This window comes from Homo sapiens, chromosome 3 (genome assembly GCF_000001405.40).
Source record: "Homo sapiens chromosome 3, GRCh38.p14 Primary Assembly".
NCBI classification, from domain to species: domain Eukaryota; kingdom Metazoa; phylum Chordata; class Mammalia; order Primates; family Hominidae; genus Homo; species Homo sapiens.
Window position 1 is genome coordinate 178,101,396 of NC_000003.12, and position 17,980 is coordinate 178,119,375.

Here is a 17,980-nt window from a genome sequence, read left to right on the forward strand (position 1 = left end):
GTCCATTTGTTTTATCTTCTCTCATTCCTAGCCAATGCTTCCTTGAGCAAAACTGAGATTCACAGAAATCCCCATGGCATTTGAACGTACAGTAATTGCTGTTGATTGTCCTTACAAGGTAAAATGGCCATCACATTTTCTAATAATAAAAATGATGACTTGAAATTAATTCAGAGTGCAGTGGGTAATGAATGGATTTTTTTAGTTCAGTTTTTATGTGGGCTGCTGTGTGGAAATGAAGGGTAGAGGTATTTATAACAATCTGAAGCTGCTTTATTTTGGAAGTATATTAATGGAATTAAGCATAATTATGACTCTCACTAAATTTTCAAACTTATTTTCATGTAGTGGGGAATACTAACCACATATGACCTTGTAAGTCTGTAATGAATTTATCCTTGGTTGGTGGTGGTTAAGACACAGAGACCCAAGTCTTCATTCCAAAAATAATTTTGTAATACTTCCAAATAAGAAGTATTTAAATCAGCTTTCCACAAAGCCCAAATAATGGACTAACTCAACAATGGCAGTTCATGTAGGTATCAGTAATTTTTCTGTAGAATATCTTGCCTTATAGAAATAAGGGCAAAATACTGAGAGCTGAAGAAGCGAAACTATGGATATCTGCATATCTTCAGTCTTAAAAGATGTATATGTAAGCAACCTGAAAAATCCATCACTGTACAACTACTAAATTAATAACACTTTAAATGATTTTAAGACTGCATTGTGGTTTCAAAGGAACAGCTAGTTAAGGTTAGCTCAGGAATGAACATTTAATATAAAATGTGTGGTGGATTTTTTTCTCTTAAGGCTTATTTTATTTCAGAATTATAATGATATAAAATGACTAACAAGTAAAATATAAGTCAAAGAGAAACAGTCCTTTGCTTGCTTTGTTTGGCTGGATGCAGAGAGGGGTGGGAAAGTGCTGCTTTGCAACTCTTGAAGAGAAAGCCTTTCAGAAGAGTGTCTTCAGATATCACAGAAGGATTTGTTTCAAATAGTTACTTGCGGCAATGCATTGTCTCTGGGGAAGCTGACATATTCCAATAAGAGATGACACTAAACGTTAGACTTTATATTTTGTGATTTTTTTATTAGGAATTAAGTGAAAGGGAGAAAGTTCTTTTCTTTTTTTATTTCTTCTTTTTTCCAGATTGCATCTTTATGCTGTTTCTCAGCCTTCACTGATGAAAAAACACATTAGTAAGAGGATTATGTTTACCATTCTACCCTAATTAATTTAAATGGAAAAGTTCAAACTAAGCAATGAAGCTTTTCTAAATCTGAAAATGTTCCCAATCTAAAGATCCAGAGGCCCAAATATATAAGCTCTGTCTGCATAATTTAGGCAGGACGGTAAACACAGCTTTGAGAAATTTTAAGCCATGCTTTCTAGACAGCATTAGCTTTTATCCTCACTAGAAGAAATCTTATAATACCTTGCTGAATTGTTCCATTGTGTTTAAACAAAAAACACACAGATTTGGCAAATGATAAAAAGGACACTAATTTCAAAATATCTAAAAGAAGACAATTCACTACTTAATAGAAAGTTGTACATTGGGCTACCATCTAATTCATGTAGATAAGTATTTTGTTAGTTAACACTTGTCTAAGTTTATTCAAGAAACATCTAATAGGCTGGATGGCATTCCAGAATAGTAATCCTGAAAAACAGGTACTTTGATGTCTGCTATAATTCACATGTTTGTTTGTTTAACTGCTTGCATTTAATCTTTTTTTGGTATGTGTTTCTATTTGGCTTGGATATGGGTAACTTATAATTGTACCATATGTCCCTCCTACACAGGAAAAATAGGCTCTACAAAGTCAGTCCTCTGGACCTCAGTAGCAGACTTTGGATAGAGTGAGAGGGATGAGGGAGAAACATTCCTTCTCTATGCACAGGCACGGTGATGTTACCCAGCTGGTCCACTCAGACATCACGGACACACACCAGTTCCCCAGCTGGGCATTTCCAGGGTCAGAGCCAGCAGACATGGAAATAAGAAAGACTTGTTACCTATCCAGTCCTTTGGAACCAATTCTATATTTACATACACAGCAAGGTCAAGCAATCATAATATTTTGATTTCTTCTGGGGTATATTTAAATATTACTCAGGTGTCCTAAGAGCCTACTTAAATACTTCCAAATTTTTCAGTCCCATTTGCCTTTGTTTGTAATGGTTCAGAATTTGTTTTCAATTAGTTCAGAAGGTGAAAAATCTAGTTTGGAATTTAATCAAGTGTATAGGGACTATTGAGCTACTCACTGCCAACGTATATGTTATTAAAACCACAAACTAAAAGTGCTTGTTGGAAGAGGCATCATTAAATAAAAGTTATTTTTTAATGTTTAAATAAAACTCCTTGGAATAATATCTTTGAGGCAATGCAGAATCCATTGTAATCTTAACAATTCTCTGCCCAACCGTGAAGGACATTTTCTTTCTTTTACACAATTAGACTAAAATGAAGAAATATAATAAGAATTGTTAAGATTTATTTAGCAGACACTATATATACATTACTTAATTTAATTCTAATAATAAGCATATAACACTCCTTTTATCCTTTTATTGTAGGCCAACAAACTGAGTCTTAAGGAAATGTTTGAATTATAGTCTGCCTGGCTCCAAATCCTGAGCTTTTAAACAATTTACTGCATGAGATTTTATACAAAGAAATATTCTGCTAAATATCCAAGTCATTCCATCTCTTCCTCCCTCAGCTCTCTCCACGTCTGGTAACAGGTTTAACATTTGTACTTTCTTTTTCAATTTGCTACTTAAATAGGTAACAATACCATAAGGTGATTAAGATCATGGTGCTTGGAGTTTATTTAAGCCTGAGTTTTAATTCCATCTCCTCCTCTTACAGACTTTGACCTACGGCAAGTTACTTAATTTTTCTGAGTATCAGCTACATTTATTTATTTATTTATTATTTATTTATTTTTGAGACAGGGTCTCATTTTGTCGCCCAGGCTGGGAGGCAGTGGTGCAATCACAGCTCATTAGCTACAACTACAGGCACCTGACACCATATCCAGCTACTTTTTTTTGTTTTTTGTAGAGATGGTGTCTCACTATATTGCCCGTTAGTCTCAAACTCCTGGCCTCAAGAAGTCCTCCTGTCTCAGCCTCCCAAAGTACTGGGATTACAGGTGTGAGCCACCATGCCCCACCCTAAGCATTAATTTTTTGGTCCATAAAAAGGAAGATGACAATTCTTATCTTCTATGGTTGTTTTCAAGGTTAGTTGAGATAATGTATGCAAAGCATTTAGCATAGTGCCTTGTACGTAATAAACCCTGGATAAATGGTAGCCAGTTTTGTTAATACCATATAATTTAAATATTGCTGTGTGTTATAACTCCAATAACACCCTATTTCTATTGTCATCACATTTAATTTGACTCCCATGCCTAGGCTGGAACTCATATCTGTATTCCAAGCCTTCATTTCTCAATGCCAAGAGGTTAGCTCCAAGTGGCTGGAACAAGCCATGCACATTTAAGATGTGCAGAACTAATCCCAGTAAATCGGAATCAATGACACCCACAGTCCACCCACTAAGGGCACAAGTCCTAGCAGTCACTTAAGACTCCTCACTATCTTTAAACCCCACTCATGAGCAGTTACCCTATTCATTCTATCTCCCAATGCTTACTTTATACCATTGCTACAACTTTGGGTCAGACACCAGACTTCTTTTCTCTGCTCTATTCTTTCCTCTTGACTTGTAATCCTGCCTCTAATCCCAGCTCTGCCAGGAGACAGAGAACAATTGTATGTATTTAATTCTATCACTCCTTCTTATAATGGCTCTCTAGTCTATCTAGCAGGGACTCCTGTGGACTGCACACATTTCATGGAATGCACAAAAGAACTCACTGGAAGTTAAGAAAAAAGCATTAGAATTTTCTTTTTGTTTCATAATTTTATTATTTCTAAAATATTTTCATATATGTCTGTAATGCATATGTTTTATAATGTACCTGATATAGTAGTAAAATAGATACATATGTGGTAGTTAATTTTATGTGTTAAATTTGCCTAGGCTACAGTACCCAAATATTTGGTCAAATGCATCTGGATGTTACTGTGAAGGTATTTTTTAGATGAGATTAACTTGAAATTCATAGACTTGCATTAAAGCAGATTACCCTCAATAACGTGGGTAGGCCTCATCTAATCAGTTGAAGTGCATGAGAAAAAGACTGACTTCCTCCGGGACAGAGAACTCTTTGAGCAGACTGCCTTCACAGTCCTGATGTAAAATCAACTCTTCCCTCAGTCTCCAGGCTTCTGGGCTGTCCTGTAATTTCAGACTTGCTAGCCTCCACAATCATGTGAGCCAATTCCCTAAAATAAATCTAACTTGCTCTCTTTCTCACTTTCTTGAATATATGTTCATTCTATTGGTTCTATTTTTCTGGAGAACCCTGGAGTATTACAACATATTTTACAGAAACACATGTAACATGCTCAAAAGATTTTCAAAAAAATTTTAATCTCTGCTCAATAATTTTATGAATGGGTAGCATGTCAAAATAAATCTCATTCGCTCTCTTTCTTACTTTCTTGAATATATGTTCATTCTATTGGTTCTATTTTTCCGGAGAACCCTGACTATTACAACATATTTTATAGAAATACATGTAACAGGCTCCAAAGGTTTTCAAAAAAAGTTTAATCTGTGCTCAATAATTTTATGAATAAGTAGCATGTCCCCAAAGTTTGGAGACTAGCAGTCTCTATGACAAAGTCTAAACTCCTAAGTGTGAGGGACCCTCATGAGCTGACCCTTGCCTGGTTCCCTAGTCTCCTGGGCTGCCATGCCACCACACATACCAAGCACTTACCATTCAAAAGTGTTTGTGGCTCTTGGAATCCAACAGATTCGTGAACATTTTTGCATTTGCTAGCATTTCACTCTGCCCATAATTCTACCCCCAAACTTCTACTGCTGCATTTGTCTTATAAACTATTAAACTTTCTTTGGACTCAGTTCATGTGTCCCCTCTTCTGAGAAACTATTTATATCCCCTAGACATATTTAGGTTCTCTTTTCTATTTCTAAGTGCTCATTATAGATCTAATTATGTCAATTATCCTATTATTTTGTAACTATTTATTGGTATGTCTTTTCATTAAACTGTGGCATTCTTAAGAAGAGATTGTTTTCTTGTATGTTTTTATATTTCCAAAACTGAACAGTTCTACAAATCCAAACCCTTGAGTTTACACATGAGGACAACTAAGACCCAGAGGGATAACTTGCCCCAAATCACAAAGCCAGGAAGAGGCAGAGCCAGAAAGAGAATACAATTTGTTTTTCATGTTGTCCAGAACTCTTTTCACTACTCCATATGGTTGAGTGGGATGTATCGCAAGTGCACATACATGTTTTCTGAGTATCTGCATGTTCCTAAAACACAAACATAGGCAGAATGGAATATGTAATCACAAACCAGTCAATACTCAGGAGAAAATGGTGAAAACCTAACTGTGATTTTGTTCACCATCAGATAAACAGCTGTTACAATTTCTTACCCCATGCTTCCAAAAACATAGGAGACTTTATGGACAAATTGATCTTTTTAGACACTGATCTTGCCACTTGGATATGCTATTTTCAAAGAATGGCACCAATAAGTGACATCTGATTAATTTTTAAAGCATAATTTCTCTTTTCACCATTACTGTTTTGAGCAACAAGAAGAATCCTGTGGAAATGTTTAAAGAATATATACCAACAACTACAATTTACCTAACTTTACCTAACTCCAAAGCAAACTTAGGTCCATCATTCATTCATTAGGTCCATCATTCATTCATTAGGTCCATCATTCATTCATTCATTCATTTTCTCACAGAGCCTCAATAATACTATATCTCAAGCCATTTTCTCAAACCGAATATCTAATAGCTTTCTGGATATTTCTACATGGTGGATTGGCATGGTTTTGAAATAATCATGCCCAGAGCTAAACTCATTTCCTTTTCTCAAATATAGTTTTCTCCTGTTTTTGTTTGGTATTTTGAATCACCATGGGTGGATCGCTGTATAATATATACCCAGATACTCAATTTTGAATAAAAGTGATGAATTACTGTATAATATGTGCCCAGATACTCAATTTTGCATAAAGGAAACCTCACCTCAGTTCAGGTCATCATCAACTAGTTTCTTTTAACTGAGTGAATGTCTGTCTGAACAAATGAAACTAACCCATTTTGTTTCTACCTCCAATATAGACTTCCCTTCACAATAAGTTTTCTACTTCTAAAAGTGGCACCATTATTCTCTCAGATTATCAAGGAAATTTTTGAAATTAGTTTTCCTACCAGGATTAGACTTAAGCCCCAGTCCCTCCTACACGTCCATATACATTGTCCCTCATACCTTTTTCTGATTGAATCTAATATCTTGCTGTGAATTCTGTCAGTGGTTTGCTCATCATGACTCAAAAGTATTGACAAAGTCCCTCTGCCTATGTTATTTGATATGGAATCTTCTATCCCTTCTGACCGAGAAGCTACCTGTCTGGCTACCTCTTCTAATTATTCTGCTCATCATTTGAGGGAGAAATTGCTAATGTGATTAGTCAGAGCTTAACCACATTTATGATGAGCATGGTTATTCTGTTCTAAAGATTAGTATGTATAAGAGGTATTTCTTTTTGTACTCATTTCTCCCACGTGATAAGTATACCCCCAAACAGGGCATGGATTTGAGGTAGGTCTGGCCAGGTATCTCTGTTCTTATGTTACCTCTTCCATGCTAACAAATAAGTGATGACTTAAGCTTTGGTCTACTCTGCAGACAGAGTCACTGCAAATAGAAGAAGGAATCAGTAATTTTGCTTTAAGTTATATATGTCAGTTCAGTTTAACAAAGATTCTGTATGTTGAATTTGAAGCACTGATTCAGCTATTATAGACACAATTTTTCACATTTGATGAAAAATGCTAACATGAGTTTAAGAAGTTAAACAAAAACTCATTTAAGATAGCTCAAAGTAAAGCACGTCAAGGCATGTCATAATCAAATTTCTGAAATGCAATGATATAACAGAAAATCTTAAATAACCTAGGGAAAAAAACATTAAACATAAGGGTCCAATGATTCAAATAAGGGCTAAATTTTTATGTGAAACCATGGAGGTCAGGAGACAAGGGGATGACATTTTTAAAGTGCTAAAAGAAAAACTGTCAACCTATAATTTTATATGTAATGAAAATATTTCTCAGATCTGAAGGCAAAACAAAGTCATTTTCAGACAAATAAAGGATGAGAGATCTGTTGATAGTAGGTGAATATTAAAAGAAATGTTAAAGAACATTTTGTGGGGAGAAGAATAGATATAGTAGATGCAAATTTGGATCTACACAAAGAACTACTGAGATCTGCAAATGATAAGTGTGTGAATAAATACAGTTTTTAAAAATTTTTTAACTTTTAAAAAAGATAATTTAACTTCTTAAAACAAAAATAACAATATATTGTGGCTTTAAATACATATGAAAGTAAATTGTGTGCAATGAAAGCACAGAAAAGGCGGGATAGGTAATGAAACCATATTGTTGTAAAGTTTATATATTATATTTGAAGTGGCACCATATTATTTTAAGATATAATGTGATAAAGATACATATAAATTGTAGAGAAAACACATATACACACAACAAGCAAAGCAAAACAAAGAGTTGTGACTAATATACAAATGAAAAAGTGGAGGAGAATACTGAAAAATATTCAATTAACACAAAATAAAGCTGTAAAAGAAGGGAGATATCAAAGAACATATGCATACATAGAAAACCAGTAGCAAAATGGCAGGCTTAAACCAATCAGACCAACAATTGCATTAAATGTAAATAAACTAGGGCCTCTTCTGTAATGACTGAGTAGTGCACAGAGGATGATGCCCTGTCACAGATAACAAATATAAGTTCTAGACACAATGCAAACCAAACAAATAAACAATCAACAAGCAGTGATTGATGGCAACAAAGAGCTAACAACAAACGTAGCCAGATTCTGGAGGGAAGCAGACTCTTGGAAAAAGGCAACAGCACAAGATGAGTTACCAGGTCTTACACCTTTTATTCTGAGGGCTAGTGAAATTTGGCAACATGTGGGGATTAAATTTTTAATTGAAAAGTTTATAGTCTTTCTAATCTGAAGAACTATAGGTCAGAGTTTTTGGAAATCACAGCTGCATAAAAGAAGTGTGTATACTGATTAGGCGAGGAAGGGATGAGAGCCCTGATTCCTTTGTGTAAACTCAACCCAAATGTCTGACTTATCTTTGAAACATACATGTGTGGGACAGACTACAGCTAAGGATAAAAAACTGTGCTAAGAGTTGAGCTGCTAACAGGAAAAAGAGTTTGCAGTTTAAGACCAACTAGGAATTTCCAGAATCCAGAGTCTCCACAACATAACATTCAAATGTCCGAGATATAAATTACTCAATTTATGAGGTGCTGGAAAAGGTACTCATTAGTGTAATAAAATAGCAATCAAAGAAGACCAACACTGAGATGATCCAGTTCTTAGGATTAATGTGCATGGATTTCAAAGCAGTATTATAATAATTAACCTCAAGGATGAAATAATGTATGCCCACAATAACTCAAAAGAAACGACAGCTCATCAGAGGAAAAAAATGTAAAAAACAACCAAATGGGAATTGTAAAGCCGAAAAATATAATACATTAAAACAATTTCACTGAGTGAGATGATCAGTAAGAAGGAAATGACAGAGAAAAGAGGCACTAAATTTGAAAAGAGATCAACAGACTTATACATTTTGAAGCCTAAAAAAAAAAAAATGTAAAGAACAGACCTTCTCAGACTATGGGGCGGCGGGGGGGGAAAAGACTGTCAGAAGTAAGAGAGAGTGAGAAGAGGACAGAGAAAATATTTGAGGAAATAATGGCTGAAAATACCCCAAATTTTGTAAAAGAAAATAATTTACAGATCCAAAAACGTATCAAGCTTTTGGAGCATGAAAAGTACAAAGTACAAACTACAAAATATAATGTACAAAGCAGGAAAAGTACAAAATATAATGACAAGAGACTATAATAGAGTCAAACTTCTAAAAACCTGAGATAAAAGGAAAAATCTTGAAGCAGCCAAAGAAAAATGACACCTTATAGAGCAAACAATAAGTTAAAAAAAAAATGAAGGCAAGAGGCAGTAGGAAAACATCTTCAAAATACTTAAAAAAAAGTCTATCCCCAATTTAAAATTTTTTTTTAGAGACGGGGTCACCTTATGTTGCCAAGGCTGGTTATGAATTCTTGGGCTCAAATCATCCTCCTGCCTCAGCCTCTCCAGTAGCGGGGACTACAGGTGTGTGCCACCATAGCCAGCCACAAATTCTATGTCCAACAAAATGCTTTTCAAGAAACAATTAAAAAAACATATGTTCATCGAGGGGAAATAGAACTTACCCTCAGTATAGCTGCACTATAAGACATACTAAACGAAGCTCTTCATGAAGAAGTAAAATAATACAAAAGGAAAACTCAGGTTTTCAGAGAAGAATTATGATTATAAAAATGTTAAACATATGGATAAATAAAAAAGACTATTTTTATCTTAATTTTAAACAATACCTAGGACTGACTAAAGCAAAAATTATAACATTCTAGTGTATGTAATGGATTTAGATGGAATGCGTAAGACAACTACAGTGTAAGGGAATTGGGAGAGGTAAATGAATCTATAATGTTGCAAGGTGTATAGATTTTTCAAGAACTAGTACAATATTTACTCTAGGTAAACTTTGAAAAGCCAAGGATACATCCTGAAATTCCTAGAACATCCAATAAAATTAATAAAAAGAGTTATAGCTAAAAAGGCAATAGGTAATTAAAATTACTTTCCAAAATATAAATAGGCTATATACTCTACTTACAGGACAGATTGTCAGGTGAAATAAAGATGGTAAACACAAAATTTTTCAGTGTGTGAGTTACACGTAAATATAAATAGTTAGCTGGGTGCAGTGGCTTACGTTTGTAATCCCAGCACTTGGGGGGTCGAGGTGGGTGGATCACCTGAGATCAGGAATTTGAGACCGGGCTAGCCAATATGGCAAAATCCATCGCTATTAAAAATACAAAATTAGCCGGGTGTGGTGGCACGTGCCAGTAATCCCAGCTACTCGGGAGGCTGAGGCAGGAGAATTGCTTGAACCTGGGAGGCGGACATTGCAGTGAGCCGAGATCACGCCACTGCACTCTAGCCTAGGGGACAGAGTGCGACTCTGCCTCAAAAAAATATATACATATATATAAAATAAACACACATATGTATATATATTTATATGTTATATAATAATAATATATTATATATTATTCTATTATATATTGTATTAATTGTATATTATATATAAATCATATATTATATTATATATTAAACATATAGTATATTATATATGGTAAACATATATAGTATAATATAATATATTATATTTTATATATAATATAATTATTATATATAATATTCTATATAATTATATATAATAAATATAATATTCTATATAATTATATATAATAATATATTATTCTATATAATTATATATAATAAATATATTATTCTATATAATTATATATAATAATATATTATTCTATATAATAATATATATAATAAATATAATACTATTATACATAATAATAATATTATATATATATAATATTAGTTAGGAGGAATAAATTCTGCAGATCTGTTGTACGAAATTGTGGCCATAGTTAATAATAAAGTATTTTATACTGAAAACTGCTAAGAAAGTATTTCTAAAATGTCCTCACCACAAAAACATAATAAGTATGTGAGTTGATTGACATGGTTTGGATATTTGTCCCCTCCAAATCTCATGTTGAAATTTGATCCCAGTGTTGGAGGCGGAGCCTGGTAGGAGGTGTTTGAGTCATCAGGGCAGGTCTCTCAGGAGTGGCTTGGTGTCCTCCTGGGGTAATGAGTGAGTTCTCTTTCTACTAGTTTTTTCGAGATCTGTTTGTTTAAAACAGCCGGTCGTCTCCTCCACCGTCTTGCTCCCTCTCTTGCCATGTGATACTTGGACTCTCCCTTTGCCATCCACCATGATCGAAAGCTTCCTGAGGCTTCACCAGGAGCAGACGCCAACCCAGGCTTCCTGTACAGCCTGCAGAGCTATGGGCCAAATAAATATCTTTTCTTTCTTTTTCTTTTCTTTTTTTTTTTTTTTTTTTTGTTTGAGACAAGGTCTTGCTCTGTCAACCAGGCTGGAGTGCAGTGGCATGATCTTGGCTTACTGCAACCTCCACCTCCTGGGCTCAAGCAATTCTCCTGCTTCAGCCTCCTGAGTAGCTGGGACTACAGGTGTGCACCATCATGCTTGGCTAATTTTTCTATTTTCTGTAGAGGCAGGGATTTGCCATGTTGGCTAGGCTGGTCATGAACTGGGTTCAAGGGATCTGACTGCCTTGGCCTCCCAAAGTGCTGGGATTATAGGCATGAGTCACCACTCTGCTCCTGGCCATCTCTTTTCTTTATAAATTACTCTGCCTCAGATATTCCTTATAGCAATGCAAAACTAACACAGTGATGGATATATGTTAATCAGCTTGATTTAATCATTCCACTGTATATATGGCAATAGATAATATATAAACATCATATTGTGCCTTATAAATGTATACAATTATTTATCAATTGAAAACAAATAAATAAAAAATTTTTAAATAAAATTAAATAAAAATTTATTTTTTTAAATAAATTTTTAAATAAAATTAAATAAAAAATTTATTTTTATTTTAAATAAAATTAATAAAAATTTATTTTTTATTTAATTTTAAATAAAATTAATAAAAATTTATTTTTTATTTAATTTTAAATAAAAAAATTTAATTTAATAAATATTTAAAATAAAAATTTAAAAGTACCATGCAAATACCAATTATAAGAAAGGTAGAGTGGCTATATTAATATATCATGGAATGAAGATTTCTGGGAAATGAGTATTATCAGAAATAAAGAGGAATATTTAATAATAATTTAAAAAATGGTTCATAAAGAAGTCCTAACAATAATACATGCATATATACCTAATAGTATAGTTTCAAAATAATTGAAGCAAATATTGACAGACAGTAGAGAAACAGACAAATCTATAGTTACAGTAGGAGATTCTAAAACTAATCTCTCGGTAAATGACAGACCAACCTGAGAGAAAATCAGTAAGGATATAAACAACTTGAAAACTGTATCAACCAACTTGGTCGAATTGATATTTATGGAGCACTGCAGCTAACGGCCTGCAGAATTTGAATTCCTTTCAAATTCACACAAGACATTCTCTAGGACAGGACATATCCTGGGTCATTTAAAAGGTTTGAATTCCAAAGGTTGATATTATACTGAGCATGTTCTCATATCACTGTAGAATTAAAGAATCGATAAAACAGAAAAATAGAAAAGCCTCAAATATTTGAAAATTAAGTAACCCAGGTCTAAGCAATCTATGGGTTAAAGAAGAAATTACAAAGAAAACTACAAAATATTTTAATATGAAAGAAATGATGAAAAATTGTGATTTGTGAAATGCAGTTAAAATAGTGCTTCGCAGGGAGTTTATAGCTCTATGTGCTTATTTTAGAAAAGAAGCAGGGTTAAAATCGATGATCTAACTTTCTAACCTAAAAAGTTGAAAAAAAAATCAGATTCAAGCCAAGGAAAGTAGAACAATGAAAAAAATAAAGATAGGAGCATAAATTAATGAAATAAATTTCAGAGAAAGAAACCCAATGTGGCTCTTTGAAAAGATTACATTAAAATTGATTAACTCTCTCAGTATATTGATTATCAATATCAGGAATGAAAGTGCGGATGCTAGTGTAGATCTTACAAGTATTATAATGATAAAAAGAAATATTAGAGATGATTTGAGCCAGTAAGTTCAACAATTTTGATGAACAAATTCCTTGGGAGAAAAATAAAAAACTGATTTTTCAAAATAGAAAATTTAAATTGCCAAATATCTACTAACGAAATATAACTAGTAATTAAAAACAGTACCTAAAATATAATTAAAGCAATGGAGTAAAATGGACGTTTCAGAAAAAAACTTAACGTTTTTCATGAAATAAGTTTCAACTAAGCCTCCAAATTGAAATGATGGGAAAAAGGAGCATCTTTCAACAAATGGTGGTGGGACAACTGGATAGCCACATGGGGGAGAAACCTTGCCTCATCTCTCTCCCCATATACATAATTTAACTTAAGATGGATCTCAGAACTAAAAATAAAAGCTAAAACTATATAGCTTCCAGAAGAAAAAAATTGAATATCTTCAATACCTTGAGATACACAAATATTTCTTAGGATATAAAAAGCAAAATCCAGCTGGGCACAGTGACTCACGGCTGTAATGTCAACACTTTGGGAGGCCGAGGAGGGCGGATCACGAGGTCAGGAGATTGAGACCATCCTGGCCAATATGGTGAAACCCCGTCTCCACTAAAAATACAAAATTAGCGGCCGGGCGCGGTGGCTCACGCCTGTAATCCCAGCACTTTGGGAGGCCGAGGCGGGCGGATCACGAGGTCAGGAGATCGAGACCATCCTGGCTAACACGGTGAAACCCCGTCTCTACTAAAAATACAAAAAATTAGCCGGGCGTGGTAGCGGGCGCCTGTAGTCCCAGCTACTCGGGAGGCTGAGGCAGGAGAATGGCGTGAACCCGGGAGGCGGAGCTTGCAGTGAGCCGAGATCGCGCCAAGGCACTCCAGCCTGGGTGACAGAACGAGACTCCGTCTCAAAAAAAAAAAAAAAAAAAAAAATACAAAATTAGCTAGGCGTGGTGGCACGTGCCTGTAATCCCAGCTACTCAGGAGGCTGAGGCAGGAGAATCGCTTGAACCAGGGAGTTGGAGGTTGCAGTGAGCAGAGATCATGCCACTGTACTCCGCCTGGCAACAGACAGCCAGACTCCGTCTCAAAAAAAAAAAAAAAAAAAAAAGGAAAACCATGAAAGAAAAATTGTTACATGATCAAAATTAAATTTGTATGCTAATTAAAAGACCCTGTTCCATAATTAGATAAGCCACAGATTGAAAGATAATATTGTAATGCATTGTAATGCATATATCTGACAAAGGACTTATATCCAAAATACAACAAAAACTTCTACAACTTAATAAACATAAAGACAACTAGTCATGTCAAAACATGAGCAACACATTTGTGGTTCCCTTCAGGAAAGGATAGTGAATTTATTGACTGGGAGAGGACAGCAGAATTTCTCTAGGGTATTAAAGTGTGCTGTATCTTGATCTAGGTGTAGACCACGGTGGGGTATGCTCTTGTCAGAACTTATCAAATGGTGCACTTAAGATCCGGTGTCTCTCTTTTTGTGAATTGTATCTCAATGGAAAAAAATAAGTGTTACTTTAATTTTCAAATTTGCTACAATACCAATCCTGTAATAATTTCCTCATATCATGACAATTAATAATCACGAGTCAAATGATTTAATAAAAATGCCGCTCATTTAAAAACACTTGAATGTGACAATATGTCCTTAAATCTAGAAAGCTGATTTGCTATAGGATATGTGGGAAACAAATCTGTCCTCTGAGCTCACTTTATGGTAAATATCATTTTGCTGCTATTAATGGAAGTGTTTTTTTTTCATTTATAAAGCAAAAGAATATATACCCATTAATTTTTCACTTGCTAATGCAATAATAAAGCAGCATTTTAAGATGATGAAAAATGATTCTTCAGGCAGCATGATATAGCAAAAAGAACAATGGACTGAAGTCAGGAGGTCTGTTCTGTGTTCTTGGCATTGCCACTTCGTAACTGTGTATTGAACCCTGGAAAAGTCCCAGCATCTCTGGCCTTCCTCTCCCTCATCTGCAAAATGAAGTCATTGAACTGCATGACCTCTGAGACCCTTCCTGCCTCTAACTTTTTACAATCTATGATCCATGCCTTGAACTATGACTGCAGGTGTCCTCTCTTTTGACATTTCAATATGCCGAGGCACTTACACTTATTTTCATTCATTCTATTACTATGCAAAGATCCAATTCAGGAAGCTATTTTAAAAATATGGGAAAATTTAATTAATTTTAGTTGATATTTATGATTCTGTTAGCACATTATTTGTTATTAAGGTCACATAAAGAACTAATCATTTCTACTCTTATTCCAGAGGCATAGTGTGTATTACAATAACATAAATCATATTAATGTGAATGTGAGATTAATTTCAAAAAGAGACAAATTACATGCTTTGCTTAGTATTTACATATTGGATGTTATGAATTTATTCTTATTCATGGTAATAACATTAATTACAATAAATTTGTTTTATATTCATGTAAATGTCACACACTTCTGGAATTTGGCATCTATAATACATGAATAAATGGCCACTAGCTTTTTACTCTCGTATTTCAGATGTAGTTACTCAAATGAATAGTCACAAAATTAACAAGCTATGAAACCAGAAAAAAAAAACCTGATAGTTGAATTTTATTGATTTTTGTCACAATATCAAAATATATAATTTCTTACCTCTGGCACTTATTTAGTAATTTTATGTAATGAATTATTTATTAACAGCCAGTGGCCTAACTGGGAATTACTTTGATCTAGGTTGAGCACTTGAGGAAGCTGGTTTATGAAGGCTGTGTACTCAGTGAAACCAACATTGCTACTGAAACATAGTCTGGCTCTGTGTTTATTTCCCTTCACCTCTACTAATCTTGATGAGAGATAATGTGATACAATACAAAGAATTAAAATCGAAGAGTCAAGACACCAGAAAACCTGGGTTCAGATTTCAGTTGTACCACTTAAAATAGGCGTATCTTAAGCAAGTTTCTCAGCTTATGTAGATCTGTAAAACAGAGAAACTATTTAAATGTAATTCAATTTATAAATATACCTGGAACCCTCTAGGCAATTAATATTAATTGGATATGGATTTGCATCCTATGCCTTCCGTCTAACTCCTACTTTCCTTTTCTTAATCCTTTTAATTCACAATTGCTTTGTTAGATAAAAATCTCTTTCTCTGTTGTGTCCCTCCATGTTCTCATTAATTTCCTATCCAGACCGGCCATCTACATTTTTACTCTGTCAGCTAGGCTCCCAGCTCCTTAACAGTGGGGTCCAGTGACTCCCGCCACTCAGAGCAAACCAACCTATTTTTTCAGCCTCTTCCTGAAGCACTTTAGCTGCCTCACTTTGATGGAAACCTTGCTCTTCCTTAATCACACTGAAATCCTCAAAAACCTGCTGAAGAAAATTCTTTCTTCTCCAACCCTTATTACCACTTAATGAACCCCAGAACCAGCTTTCTCACTGGTGTCCTCTGTTCTCCCACAGCCCATCATTTGTACTACCACTTGGTCCAGCCTCCTGAGTCACTGCTGATATCATTTCCTGGTTTAAAAATCCTTGTTGGCTGGGCACGGTGGCTCATGCCTATAATCCCAGCACTTTGGGAGGCTGAGGTGGGTGGATCACCAGAGGTCAGGAGTTTGACCAACCTGGCCAACATGGTGAAACCCCATCTGTACTAAAAATGCAAAAATTAGCCGGGCATGGTGGCAGGCGCCTGTAGTCCCAGCTACTCAGGACGTTGAGGCAGGAGAATCACTTGAACCTGGGAGGCAGAGGTTGCAGTGAGCTGAGATCACACCACTGCACTCCAGCCTGGGCAACACAGAGCAAGACTCTGTCTCAAAAAAAAGAAAAAAAAAATTCTTATTGACTATTTGGGGCCAAAGATTTGTTATGACAAAGTCTAAGCTTACTTCATGGGCTTTAAAGACCTCTGTTAATCTGGCCCAAATCTATCTTTCTAATCTTAATCACTACATCTGTCTGCAAACCTTTTATTTTAGTGAAACTGAACTGTTGCTTATACATCTCTCTCTGTTCTTCCTAGACATGTTCACATTCTGTCTACTGAGAATGATTTTCATCCTAATCCCACATGTCCAAATAATACCCATTTGCCACATACAAACTCAAGTTCCACTTCTTTCTAAAGTTGTATTGGGTCATTGCGGGAAATCATCTATTTCCATAGTGTGTGGGCTCTGTGCCTCTTGTGGCCATCACACCTTTCTACCATGCATGCTACCAACTTACATACATGTCTTTTTCTCCTCATGTACTCTTTGCAGGACCCATATGTAATTCATCTGCAAATTTCTAAAAGAAAAGCACAATGGTTTGTAGAAAACAAGTTCTTCAATATGTGAGTGAAATGAAGTAGTTTTGTATTATTTAAACAAAACTTTATTTCCATGAATCTTGCTGGAAGAGTATTTGCTGCAGAAAATAGAAATTTATTATTTCTAAAAAAGAACCCTAGTAGAACAAAATTTAGGTGAAAAAAGATTATTTTATTATAAAGAGGTTGTGGTGAGCCGAGATCACACCACTGCACTCCAGCCTGGCGACAGAACGAGACTCCATTTCAAAAAAAAAAAATCTAGTTTTATACAGCTGCTATATTTATTATAAAGGTATAAGGACATCTCAAGAATGTAAGGTCTGGGAATTAGCAGGGTTTCACGGATGGAGTGTAATCAAAGGCTGGTACACTATGGGAAGACTGGGACATCATGTCTCTCCATCCCTCATTTGTGATTATTTCTGAGTGTCTGATGTTGTTTGATCTTTCTCTCTCTCTCCCTGTCTCTGAAAACTAAATTTTTCGCTTTTCAACCCATATTACAGATCTTGATTGCAACAACTTTTGAATTTTCACTTTTTCTATTAAAGAATATCTAGACTGCAACTCAAATCTCTAAGTTACTATTCCACATTCTCAAACAAGGACCCTAATGTACCTGGCAGGAATCAACTGCCCATCTTTCAGCTTGCCACCCTTGAATAGAGAGCAAAATTATACTATCAGACATTTTTGGATACACTAGTGTT